At 44.2% G+C, this 14,273-nt stretch overlaps 1 protein-coding gene and 1 long non-coding RNA gene across 2 annotated transcripts in view; one reads left to right on the top strand and one right to left on the bottom strand.

Moving 5' to 3' along the window:
• The window catches only part of ANXA8 (annexin A8), a 523,804-nt gene that overhangs the window by 26,706 nt on the left and 482,825 nt on the right, over positions 1-14,273 (top strand). The window lies entirely within an intron of this gene.
• Positions 386-6,347, bottom strand: LOC124902423 (uncharacterized). Its single transcript, XR_007062143.1, has 2 exons — positions 902-6,347; positions 386-733 (listed from the first exon to the last, which is right to left on the bottom strand). It is a non-coding gene; the product is annotated as an uncharacterized LOC124902423 (long non-coding RNA).

Below are 14,273 nucleotides of genomic sequence, written 5' to 3'. Positions count from 1 at the left end.
TGCTGCCTGTGACACAACAAAGGCCTTGACACCAACACTCCCTTCTGTGGAGTCCCTTGTAGTGTTTATGCACTAAAAATCATTTTTAAAACATTTTAATAGGGTATATTGCTTTGAATCCCTTCCCCAACAGGAAATATGCTGGCTGGCTGGCAGAAGGCTCAGCAGCTGACCTTGAACTCCCTTGACCTCCCCACATCCAGGCTGAGATTTTCCATCCAACGGTATTGCCAGAGCCCAAGCTGAATGGAGGAGGCTGGAATTAAACAGTAATAGCCCCTTCCAGTTATCGTTCTGTAGCCGGCAGCTAGATAAATATTCGGAAAACATCGGAGGAGAAATCTAATTGAATTCAAACATAATAAATTGAAGCCAACTCACTGGATTTATGGTCATGTCTTCTGGCATCTTTTAATTTTGCATCACACTCATTTGGAGGCAATCAAATTAGGGCGCTCATTAGCAGCCAAGGGAGGGGAGGCTGGAGCCACACTCACTGCGGTAATGAGATCTCTGCAGTGGGATGATTCAGAAGTCGGTTGCCGGGGAGGCTGCAAGGGCACAGTGGTCACTGCCTCCTTTCAGGAAAGTTGTTGGGAGGAGCAGGAGGTTGATTGTAGGAGGGAGCAAGGGTGGAGTCCAGCCCAGCTACTCACCGGGTAACTGTGGCCTTCACCGCCCACAGTGTCAGACTCCTCCTCGGTGGGATAGCGGCAGTGCCTGCCTCCGAAGGCTAAATGAGTAGGAAATGAGATAAGAGGTAGAAACCATGTCTTCCTCCAGCCCTCAGAGTTTGATAACCTCTGCCCTCTCATCCCATTACGGCCCCATGGACAAAGCTCCTTGGCCCCCGATTCTCACTCATGGACCTCTGGCTTGTACATGTGAGAAACAAACTTACCCGTCCAAACCCAAAGAATGGACTCAGATACCCAGAGAACAGCGAAAGTGAAACTTTTAATGATGAACTTGCAAGATCGGGTGTCTGATGGACAAGCACACCCAGCAGTTTCGACAAGCAGTTTATCCCTAGAGTACGGGTCCCTCCCCCAGTTGCTCATAGACTGAGTACTATGGGGTCACAATTTTCCCGGATGTTGCCTATTGATTGTTAGGTAGGGGCTTTAGGTGTTTTTTTTTAGGGTTGTCTTGCTGCATTTTGTTGCAGCTCACAATGCATTGCAATCCTAGTCAGCTCAGGGGCTCTTCAAGTGTTTGACTTATGACCTAAGTAGCTAGGCAGGCTGACAAGAAGAGACAAATCAAGCTATCTTGCAGACTAATAAACTTTTATCTAAACTTCTTTGGTTCGGGTGAGGGCAACTAAGGGGGTGGGGAAGAGGGAAGAAGGGGGAGGCCGACAAGCAGGCAGCAGCTATCCAAGCAGGGGCCTAGTATGTCCTGTTGCTTCTATAGTTTGCTGACCTAAGCCGATTCAAGGCACTTGGTCTTGGAAATGGACCACTGTATACATTATTTCCTTCAGACACCCACCGTGGACACAATGCTCAGCTCATCCTGGCAGCCTGGCGAGATATGGCCTTGCCGCTAGAGCCGTTCCAGGCATCCCTACCCCAGACCAGGGGACTGGTCCAAGAGACCTGAGCTGGAACCTGAGAAGGACATCCAGGCAGCAGCCAAATAGGTGCCTGGTGCAAACAGGTGTTCAGGAAACACGGGCTTTCTCATCCACCCCAGTCCCTGCACAGGGCCGAGGAGGAGGAGGGCAGGCAGCTTTCTTGTCTGGCACAATCATTCACTTATCGAATACCTCATATGCCTGTGGTGCCAGGCGGGGTGCAGAATGTTATCCCATTCCATCCTCACTGACCATAAGGGAAGTATGAACACGTTTCACTTTGTAGATGAGGAAACTGAGTCCCAGTGAGAATAGGCATTTGCTCATGGCCACACAGCAGGTAAGAGATGGAGTCAGCAGTCAAACCCAGGTCTGACTGACTCCAGAGCCTGCGCACTCTCTGACAAGCAGCTCCACAGAACCGTGGCTGCCCAAGCAGGTGACTCCACAAAGAGCCTGGAGCCTCTGGGACCTGGACAGGGAAGTAGATTGCAGCCTTGTGAGAGTTACATCATGTGATGAGGGCTTTCTGATCCCACAGTCTACAGAGGGAACCACAGCTGGAGCTGAGCAAAGCCAGCTCATCCAGGCAGGGGCTCCAGTGAGTGCGCCCTGCTGCTCGCCAGGTGGTCAGCCTTCCAGCTTCCCCAGGGACTACCTACATGTCCCCCCAATGCTTACTGCCCACTCCCAGGAGGGGCTGCGTGTCAGAGCAGGCCAGAGCACCAGATGCCCTGTAAGGGTGTGTCTCTGTGTGTTTGTGTATGTGAGTGTGCACACACATGCATGTGGAAATGTGCGTGGGTGTGTATACACTTGTGTGCATGCACAGGACTGTGTGTGCTTATAAGTGTGTGTCTCTGTGAGTGTGTGAGAGTGTGTGTGTGTAAGTGTGTGAGGTAGGCCAAGCAATTCCAATCACTTGTTTTCTGAAATGTCCTCAGATCCACCCAGGTGAAAGGAGCTGATAAATATGTCATTATAATCACATTTTCTACTGTTAAAATACAGTCCTGATTATATTTGCAATGACGACAGTTTACTTTACCCAACACAGTAGGTGATTCAATTAAACCTCTCCCCATCTATCCTTGGGCAGCCAGACAGGCCAGCCTTTCCAGCCACAGGGAGAAGAGAAGGCAAAGGTGACACTCCCATGGCCGCGTACTCTCTCATCACATTCTTGATGCTTCCCCTGTCTTGGTTTTTTGAGGCCCCCAGGGCTTGGCCAGGTGTCTGCTCATTAACATATTAGGCCTGAGTTCAAATCATGAGCCCCATGAGCAGAAATGCACTCCAGGCCCCCTCCCCACTCCACAGAGCAGTGCACCTGAAGCACAGACCTGACTGAGTGAAGAAAGTCTTGACAGTAACCACCTGATGTTAGCACAGATGCCACAGACTTAGGGCCCTGCAGGATGCCAGCTGCATTCCCAGTGCACCCACACTTCCAATCACTGGCTACCAAGATAGAGGCTCCCACTCAGGGCTTCAAGTTGAATAAATAATTCATTAGAATGACTCACCAACCTCTGCACTTACAATTCCAGTTTTATTGATTGGTACAAATCAGGACAAGCTAAATGAAAAGATGCACAGGGAGAGGTTTGGGGAGATTCCCAAATGTGAAGCCTCCCAGAACACGGTTATATGATTACCAACCAGGGTGGCTGCACTGAGCTACAATGTCCAGAGTTTTTATTGGGGTTTGTTACCTAGGCATGATTGATGAAATCATTGCTTACACCTTTGTACTCAATTCCAATACCCACTCTCTCCCCAGAGGTCAGGCTGATATCATGTGGCTCAAAGTCCTGACCCTTTATTCACATGGCTGGTCTTGCCATGGTTGGCCAGCCTGCATCCTGAAGCTATGGAGTCCCACCTTGAAGCACCTGGTCAGCATAAACTCCGGTGTGGCCCCAGGGACCCACGATGAATAGCAAAGACACTCCTGCCACCCTGAAAATGCCAAGCTCCCTTCCAGGAACCTGGGACAAAGCCCAAATGCTTCATTTTACAACACCATGGGCCCCCTAAAGTGTCTGGTGGCTCTTCATTGCCTTCTGGGTAAATCCAGGCTTCAGCCTTGCCTAGAAAGCCCCTTCCTCCTTGTCTGCCCTCATCTCCCAGCTCTCTGGCCAGGTGCCTTTTGTTCCAGCCACACTGGCCTTCTTCACTTTCCAGACATACCAGGTCCTTTCCCATACCTTTGGGGTGATATCCTCCCCATCCTTTCCCCTTTCTTAATGCTTCCACTGTCTTGACATATGTGACATCTGCTCACCTCTTCATCTCCCTAATGAGGCTATGAGCACCCAAAGGCACCCTCAAGGCCCACACATTTTAGCTGTCCTGGAAGACCTGAAGCCACACAGTGCAAGTTCTGCAGAGACTGTGCCATTCAGAATCCCTGAGGCCCTTGGCTGGGAGCCATATTAGTGGTCCTTCCCTGGCCTACAGAGAGGCTGCACCATTCTCGAGTCCTAAGCATGGCATGGCCACAGTACTTGCATTCACCTTTATCTCTGATCATGAAGTTGAGCAAGCAGCTGACTCAAGGGCCAATGATCCTGCCAAGGTCTTCCTACAGGTGTTCCCAGCAGGCCTGCTAGCCAGGGGTGTGGCGCCACAGGTGCTTATCATGGGCCCACTGCAGGATGGCTGGTCCCCAAGCAGCCCCACCCAGAGAAGCTTCCACCATGATCCTGAGGCAATGCCTAAGGCCTCTGGAGAATGAGGTGACTATCACTGTTGGGGGGGCATGATCAACACAGGGTGCAAGTCAGTTTCTTGGGTGCTTACAATGTTCAATTATTGAATCTGAGTGCGGGTGACATGGTTCCCTTGGCAAAGATTAATCGAACCATATAATTATAATTTGTATATTTTTGTATATGTCTGTTCACTTCAGTAAAAATTTACGTAAAATGTACTATTACAAAAAAAGCTACTCTTGCCCCAGCTTCTTAGCATATGCATAAAGCAATGCTCAGAAAGCATCTTACTGATCATGAGAGTTCCCCCAAGGTGTTTATAATTGGTTCTCAGAGAAATGCTGGCTCCCTCCTTCTGTCCCCTTAGCTGAAGCAGGCTGTGCATGATACAGCCAGAGGAGGGAGGCCATCAGTGTTCTGCCAGAGTTATTTGAATTTAAGCCCCTGCACTCTAGAATTCTTGAGGCTACCCAAAGCTTCATGGAGCTCATGATGAGATTCAAGGTGCAGATTCCTATTTTGGCATCTAAATCAAGTGAGGACACATTTATGCAAGGACCTTAGGCATCCATATCAGTCACAATAAACAGTTTTTGAAATAATTTTAATTATTTTCAAATAATGCATAATAACCTCAAAACCTAGTGGCTTAAAACAATAATTTGTCACCATCTTTCACAGTTGAAGGAGTTGGCTTGGCTAAGCCAGGCAGTTGTTGTGTGGGGTCTCTCCCTGGGTTAGTCAGATGGCGTCTGAGTCATCCAAAGGCCCGACAGGGCTGGACATCCCAAGTGGCTTCCTCACATAGCTGGCAGCTGGGAACCGAGTGAGGGCTGTGGTCTGCAGGCCTAGGCACAGCTCCTCCATGTGGCTTGGGCCTTCTCACAGCATGGCATCTGGATCAGAAAGGCAGGAAGTGGAAGCTGACAGCCTCTTAGCCCTGAGCTTAGAAGCGGGCACAGCACCATATGCCTCACTCTATGGGTCAGAGAAGTCATAGAGCTCACCTAGATTCCAGGGGATGGGACAGAGACCCCACCTCTCAAGGTGAGCTCTCTAACTGGGAAATCCGTGACCATGACTTTGAAGTGAGGTTGGATCCAGGAGTCCAAGCAAGGTCCTGAACTTTCCCTCCCCGTCTCTGGCCTCTGCAGGGCTCTGTTGGGCTCCAGCTTCAGACACAGTCTCCCCAGGAGACAGCTATGGTGCTCAGCAGGTCCAAGCTCAGACTCCTTAGAGCACATGCCGAAGGAGAGACAACTGCTCTCCCAGCACTCAGTTTCCTAACAATGGACCCTAGTTGGCCCTGCTGTCCACGTGCTGATCCCAACCTAATAAGCACATCCAATGTGTGACACACTCTGGCCAATGTGGGTCCTCTGACTGCCCTTGTGGTGGGCAGTGGGGGGCTCTCTTTATTATTACCCCCACCACAATCACATAGAAAGTTTGTAAAGAGGATTCCTTTTCTCAAAGCAGGGAACCACAGAGCTCATACTGTACCCCAAGTCCCCTGCAACGTTACCTACAGGTCATGCAACCAGCATTAAGTTACAAAGAGAAAGGTGGGTACATCTGGAACTCCCTAGGCCTCCTTTTCCAGTCTCTACCTCGGGATGTCCAGCTGTCACTCCACCCCCATGTTCTCCCCCTACCCTCTGGGCCTCCAAGGCCACCTACCTCCCAGCCTTTCCTGCCTCCTTCTCCAGAAGGCCAACTGCTTCCACTGGCCACTTCAGATGGGCTCATCCCCCGGCCCTCCCCCAGCCCTCACCCTTCTCTTGAGTTCTGACAGGATAACATCGTTGATATGATTTGGCTGTGTCCCCACCCAAAACCTCATCTTGAATTACGATCCCCATAATCCCTACGTGTTAAAGTTAGGACTAGATAGATGGAGGTAATTGGATAATGGGGGCGGTTTCCCCCATGCTGTTCTCATGATAGTGAGTGAGTCTCGTGAGATCTGATGGCTTTATAAGTGCCCAGCATTTCTCCTGCTAACACTCATTCTCTCTCCTGCTGCCCTGTGAAGAACTGTGAGTCTATTAAACCTCTTTTCTTTAGAAATTACCCAGTCTTGGGTGTTTCTTCATAGCAGCATGAAAAAGGACTAATACAACTGGCTTCTAGGGTTAGCCGGGGAGTACCTCCGGCATAGACTGGGGGCCACATGGACTCAACATCAGACCACAGGCCTGTTAGAGGAGGAGGCGAAGCCATCAGTGGAAGGCACACGAGGGATCTGAGTCCTTTTCCTCCCTGCCTGTCTGTGGCCCAGGGAGCCAGTGGTGGAGATGACACTTTTTTTTTTTTGAGACAGAACCTCACTCTATCTTCCAGGCTGGAGTGCAGTGGCTCGATCTCGGCTGACTGCAACCTCCACCTCCCAGGTTTAAATGATTTTCCTGCCTCAGCCTCCCACATAGCTGGGATTACAGGCGTGCACCACCTCATCTGGCTAATTTTTGTATTTTTAGTGGAGACGGGGTTTTGCCATGTTGCCCAGGCTTGTCTCAAACTCCTGATTTCAAGTGCTCTGCCGGCCTCGGCTTCCCAAAGTGTTGGGATTACAGGCATGAACCACCACGCCGAGCTGGAGATGCCACTTCTAAGGTGTCCTTAGGTTTCAGAGGCCATGCAGGCGAATGGAGGGACAGTCATGGTGTTCTGTCTTTTGTTATGGAATAGTTATTATTAAAATCCTGGAGTGGGTTGAATTGTGGCCCCCACAAAAGGTTGGTCTGGGTCCAAACTCCTGGATCCTGTGACTATAACCTTATTTGGATAAAACGGCTTTGTAGATGTAATTAAATTAAGGATCTTCGGGTAAGTTCATCCTGACTTTGCCATTTTTAATTAAGTTGTTTGTCTTCTTATTATTGAATTGCAGGAGTAATTTTTACATTTTTGATACCAGTACTTTGTTAGATATAAGTTTGAGTACTCAGTCCTTGTAAGAGACAGAAAAGGAGAGACACACACAGAGGAGAAGGCTATGGGAGGCTGGAGGCAGAGATCAGAGCCACGAGCCAAGCTTGGAGCTACTGGAAGCAGGAAAGCAAAGAAGAACCTTGCCTGGAGCCTAAGTAGGGAGCACAGCCCTGTGACACTGTGATTTCGGACTTCTGACTTCCAGAACCGTGAGATAATAAATTTCTGTTCTTTTAAACCATGAAGTTTGTGGCAATTTGTTACGGCAGCCCTAAGAAAATAATACAAATCTTCTTTCACTGTCAAAAGTGCCTGGGTTGGAATCTATTGTAAGGACTCCCAGAGCGCTCTCGGGAAAGGAAACAAGAAGCCGGTCCCCTAGGCCTGGGCCTGACTGAGGCCGGGACCAGAGGCTCAGGTGGGGCCCTGGAGGCCAGCAGGAGGTCCCAGCCCAGTCACCAGTACAGGAGATTGACAGGAATGAAAGAAAATGTTTTGAGGGGTGTGCCTTAGGTCACGGGTCCCCAGCAGCCAGCAGCATCCGGAGGCTAGCTGGGGTCCTGGGTCCTGGCCATCTCTAGTCCTCAGAGACACAACTGACGTGTGTGTTGGTCCATCCTCAGGCTCACAGCCCTGAAATCTCTCTCCTCTGAGACAGAAAAGGAAGTTCATGTCAGAATCGGAGCACAGAGAGATCATGAATAAGCTGATGTCAGTGGCCCACTCACTGCCAACCTTGCTCAGCTCTGAGCATGATTATACCCAATCAAAGCCTGGAAAATCAATGAATCTGCAGCCCAGGATACTGGGTACTACATCCACAGCCCAAAGAGCCTCTCCGGGGAAGGTTGCTGAGATACTAAGGGAAGGATACTTTGGAAAGATGGAGAAGTAAAAATATTTCCTACATCCTTTGTTTTGGAGAGACTATACCTGTATCTGGGATGCACAGGTGAGTTCAAACACCAAGGCGTTTGTGGATGGTGCCCAGGCTATACTCGAAGCAGAGCCGTCTCCTTCCCTGAGTGCCCTGCTCCTGAATGACCAACTGCAGGAGGTGGTGTCAGGCCCTGGGCTGTGCGAGGAAGGGAAGGTAAGACGCAGTGAGCCAGGGAAGGACACAGGACAGGGCTCATTGAAGCCCTACCCTACAGTGATACAAAACTGCTGCACAAGCTGGTCCCCAGAGAGCAACAGAGGAAGACTTAGGAGGCAGAGAGACTGGGAACGCCAGTGGGGATGGGAGGGAAGTCTCCAGCCTGAAAAAGAAAATGGCCAATGGAAGAAACTAGGAAATAAAACATGGTTGCGAGTAGGGTATTCCCTACTTCTTCGTATGAGTCTGGGTTCTAGGAGGTGAATATGCATACAGTCACATGCTGTGTGACACTTCAGTCAACTACAGACGGTGATCCCATTAAATTATAATGGAGCTGAAAGAATCTTATCGCCTGGCAACAACCTAGTGCAATGTATTATTTAGGTGTTTGTGGTGATGCTGGTGTAAACAAACCTGCACTGCCAGTTGTATAAAATCTAGCACATAGAATTATGTACAGTGCATAGTACTTGACAATGATAACAAATGACTGTTAGCAGTTTATGTATTTACTATACTATACTTTCATGATTATTTTACAATGCACTCCTTCTACTTATTAAAAAGAAAAAGTTAATGTAACACATCCTCAGGCAGGTTCTTCAGGAGGGATTCCAGAACAAGGCACTCTCATCACAGGAGATGACAGCTCCATGTGCATGACGGCCCCAGAAGACCATCTGGTAGGACAAGATGTGGAGGTGGAACGCAGTGATATTGATAATCCTGACCCTGGGTAGGTGTGGGCTAATGTGTGTGTCTTCATTTTAATTTTTTTCTAATTTAAAATGTAAAAAAAGAAAAAAAGCTTATAGGATAAGGATATAAAGAAAGAAAATATTTTTGTACAGTTATACAACGTGTGTCTTAAGCTAAGTATTAATATAAAAAAGTCAAAAAGTTAAAAAAATAAAGTTGATAACATAAAGAAGCTAAGGTTCATTTATTATTGAAGGAAGAAAAAAATTTAAAATACATTTAGTGTAGCCTAAGTTTATAGTGTTTATAAAATCTGTAATAGTGTACAATGATGTCCTGGGACTTCACATTCACTCACCACTCACTCACTAGCTCATCCAGAGCAATTTCCAGACCTGCAAGCTTCATTCATGGTAGATGCCCCACAGAGGTGCACTACTTTTTGTCTTCTATGCTGTATTTTCACTCTACCCTTCCTATGTTTAGCTATGTTTGGATATACAAATATTACCATGTTACAGTTGCCTGCAGTATTCAGTACAGTCACATGCTGCACAGATTGGTAGCCTAGGAGCAACAGGCTATGCCATAGAGCCCAGGTATGTAATGGGCTGTACCATTTAGGTTTGTGTAAGTACACTCTATGATGTTCACACAATGACAAAATCCCCTAATGATGTGTTTCTGAGAACGCATCACTGTCATTGAGCATCGTTGTGTATTAATCCATTTTCAAGCTGCTGATAGAGACATACCCAAGACTGGGCAATTTACAAAAAAAAAAAAAAAGATTTAATGGACTTACAGTTCCAGGTGGCTGGGGAGGCCTCACAATCACGGCGGGAGGCAAGGAGGAGCAAGTCGCGTCTTACATGGTTAGCAGCAGGCAAAGAGAGAGCTTGTGCAAGGGAACTCCCCCTTATAATACCATCACATCTCATGAGGTTTATTCACTATCATGAGAACAGCACAGTAAAGATCTGCCCCCATGATTCCATTGCCCTCCACTGGGTCCCTCCCACAACACATGGGAATTCAAGATGAGATTTGGGTGGGGACACAGCCAAACTATACCACCATGACTGTAGTCTCTTGTGTGGGCTCCTTTCACTCATCATAATGTTTCTGGGCTCCATTCTCCTTGTCATGTGTATCTGTAATCTCTCCTGCTTTAATGTTGGGTAGTGTTCCATTCTGCAGCAATATCACAATTTGCTTATCCATTCTACTGTCTGGGGTTTTTCCCCAGTTTGAGGCTACTAAAATTGTTATAAATATTTGTTTATAAGTCCTTGTGAACACAGGTGTTTTTATTCCTCTTGAATAAATAAATACCTAGGAGAGGAATTTCTGTTTTTTTTTTATTTTTATGGGTACATAGTAGGTGTATATATTTATGGAGTACATGAGGTGTTTTGATACAGGCATGCAATGCGTAATAATCACATCAGGGTAAACAAGGTATCCATCACCTCAAGCATTTATCATTTCTTTGTGATACAAAAATTCCAATTATACACGCTTACTTATTTTTAAATATACTAAAAATTATTGTTGACTGGCCAACCTGTTGTGCTATCAAATACTGCATCTTATTCATTGTATTTAACTCTACTTTTGTACCCATTAACCATCTCCATTTCCCACCCTCCACACCCACAACCTTTTCCCAGCTCTGGTGACCATCATTCCACTCTCTATCTCCATGAGTTCAATATTTTTAATTTTTAGCTCCCACAAATGAGTAAGAACATGCAAAATTTGTGTTTCTGTGCCTTTTTTATTTCATTTAACATTATGTCCTCTAATTCCATCCATGTTGTTGTAAATGACAGGATCTTATTCTTTTTTATGGCTGAATCGTACTCCATCGTATATATGTACCACAGTTTCTTTATCCATTTGTCTATTGTTGAACAATTAGAGTGATTTCAAATCTTGGCTATTGTGAATAGTGTTGCAATAAACATGGAAGTGCAGCTGTCTCTTTGATATACTAATTTCCTTTCTTTTGGGTATTTACCTACCAGTAGGATTGCTGGATCATAGGGTAGTTCTATTTTCAGTTGTTTGGGGAACCTCCATACTGTTCATCCTAGTGGCTGTATTAATTTACATTCCCACCAACAGTGTATAAGGGTTCACTTTTCTCCACATCCTCACCAACATTTGTTATTGCCTTTCTTGGATAAAAGCCACTTTAACCGGGTTGACATGAGATCCCATTGTAGTTTTGATTTGCATATCTCTGACAATCAATGATGTTGAGCACCTTTTCATATGCCTATGTGTCATTTGTATGACCTCTTTTGAGAAGCGTCTATTCAGATATTTTACCCATTTTTAATTATATTATTAGATTTCTTCCTATTTAGTTGTTTGAGCTTTGCATAGATTCTGGTTATTGATCAGATGGGTAGTTTGCAAATATTTTCTCCCATTCTGTAGGCTGTCTCTTCACTTTGTCATTTCCTTTGCTGTGCAGCTTTTTAACTTGATGTGGAAATTTCTGGTTTGTATAGTAAGTATATATTTAAATTCATAAGAAACTTCCAAACTGTTTTTCGAAGTGACAGCATTAATCCTGAATTTCCACTAACATTGTACAAGAGTTCTAGTTGCTCCCGATTCTTACAAAAATTCAGAATTGTTGATCTTTAAGTTCAGGCATCCTCATGGTGTGAGGGGTCGTCACATTTCCCTGATGTGTAATGCTGCAGTGCATCTTTTTATGTGTTTATTGGTTGTTTCGGGAAGTGTTTGCTCAAAATTTTCTGCCCATTTTGATAAAGTTGTTTTGTCTTCTTCTTACTGATCTTCCAGGGTTCTTTTTAATTTTTGCATACCATTACTTTGCCAAATACCTGTGTATATTTTCTCCTGGTCTGCAACTTGCCCTTTCATTTTCTTCATGGTGTCTTTTGTAGACCAAAAACTTTTAATTTCAATAAGGCCCATTTATCAATTTTTTTCCTCGAAAATTTTATGTGCCCTGAGAAATCTTTGCCTGCCCAAGTTGTGAAGATTTTCTCTTATGTTTTTCTCTAGAAGCTTTACAAATTTAGCTTTTATTTTTGTCTGTGATACATTTCAAGTTATGGTATAGGTAAGGGTTGAAGTTCACTTTTTTCATGTATAGATCTTCACTTGTTTTAGCACCATTTATTCAAAGACTATCTTTTTCCCCATCAAATTACTTTGGTAACTTTGTTAGGAATCAACATATTATGTATGTCCAGAAACAGGACATCTGATTCTGTTCCACTGACGAATTGTCTAAACTGAAACCTATACCACATGTCTTCATTACTCGCTTTCCTGTAATCTTGAAATAAAGTAGATAAGTCCTCAACATTCATTCTTTGTAAAAATTGCTTTGATTATTCTAGATTATTTGTACTTCCATGTAGATTTTGGAATCGCTTTGTCAATTTCAACCAAAAATCAGGAGAGCTGACTTCTTAACAATATTGGCAATTCACTTTGTCTCCACAATGTTTCATAGTTTTTTACACAGAGATTTTGCTCATCTTGTAAGTATTTTCAAATGGTACTATAGACAGTATTATTTATATAATTTAATCTTCCAAATTGCCACAATTTAGGAAAACAACTGATCTTTTGTTTACTGACCATTGTATCTTATGACCTTGCTAAATTCGCTTATTTTAGTAACTTTTTGTAAATTCCTTAGGATTTTAAAGTACATTATTATTTCTTCTATGAATGGATTCAGTTTTACCTCCTCCTTTCGAATCTTATGTCGGTATTTCCTCTTACCTTATTGCACCACCTAGGACTTTTGGTACAATGTTGAATGATCATGGCAAAAGTGGACATTCCTGCCTCACTCCCAACCTGAGGAGGAAAACATTATGTCTTTCACTATCAAATTTGATAATACCTGTAGGTTTTTCATGACAGCATTTTTTCAGGTTGATGAATTTCCCTTCTACGCCAGTGTTTTAAGAGGATTTTATTTTTTTAAAAAAAAGTACATCGTGAATGAGTATTGCATATTGTCAAATGCTTTTATAACATCTATCTAGATCATCACCTGGGTTTTCTGCTTTAAACTGCTAGAATTGCATTCATTGATTGGTCAATTGCACTGATTAACTTTGCATTTCTAGGATAAGCACTCTTGGTCATAGTGTATTACCCTCTACATATATTCCTAGATTCAACATACTGAAATATTTTAAGGATGTTTGCATGTATATTCCTTTTTTTTTTTTTTTTTTTTTTTTTGGAGACAGAGTCTTGCTCTGTCTCCCAGCCTGGAGTGCAGTGGTACGATCTCAGCTCACTGCAACCTCCACCTCCCAGGTTCAAGTGATTCTCCTGCCTCAGCTTCCTGAGTAGCGGGGATTACATGCGTACACCACCACACCCAGCTAATTTTTTGTATTTTTAGTAGAGATGGGGTTTCACCATGTTGCCCAGGCTGGTCTTGAACTCCTGGCCTCAAGTGATCCACCCAGCTCAGCCTCTCAAAGTGCTGGGATTACAGGCGTGAGCATGGTGCCCAGCTGCATGTATATTCCTTGTGGACATTGGCCTATAAGATTTTTTTCTTGTAGTATCTTTTCTCTGAGTTTGATATCAGGATTATGCTGATCCCATAAATTAAGTTAGAAAGTCTTTCCTCCTCCTTTACTTTCTGCAAGTTTGTATAAAAGTGATACTACTACTTCCTTAAATATTTGATTGAATTCACTAGAGAAGTCACTGGAGCCCGGAATTTTCCTTGTGTGAAGGTTTTTAATTACAAAGTTAATTTCTTTAACGGTTATAAAGCTATTCAGATTATCTATTTTTTCTTCACTGGGCTTTAGTAATTTTTCTTTTGAAAAATTTTCCCATTTCCTCTGGGTTGTCAAATTTGTTGCCGTAAAGCTTCTATAATATCCCCATATTATTTCTTTAATCTCTACATAGTCTGTAATTTTTATTCCCTCTTTTATTAGTGATGTTGGTAGTTTGTTTTATGACTTTTTATTAGGAGTTTATCAATTTTATTGATCTTTTCAAAGAACTTTTTATCTTATTGACTTTCTTTATTATTCCTTTTTCTATTACATTGTTTTCTGCTATTAACTTGATTTCCTTTCTTCTACTTACATTAGGTTTAATTGGCTCCTCTTTTTCCAACTTCTAAAAGTAAAGCTTAAATCATTGACCTTGGACTTTTTATATTTTCTAATAAAAATCATTTAAAGTTATAAATTTGTCTCTAATCATT

The sequence above is a fragment of the Homo sapiens genome, chromosome 10, assembly GCF_000001405.40.
Source record: "Homo sapiens chromosome 10, GRCh38.p14 Primary Assembly".
Taxonomy (NCBI): Eukaryota; Metazoa; Chordata; class Mammalia; order Primates; family Hominidae; genus Homo; species Homo sapiens.
The sequence above is the reverse complement of the archived record's forward strand: the minus strand, read 5'-3'. Positions and strand labels throughout refer to the sequence as shown.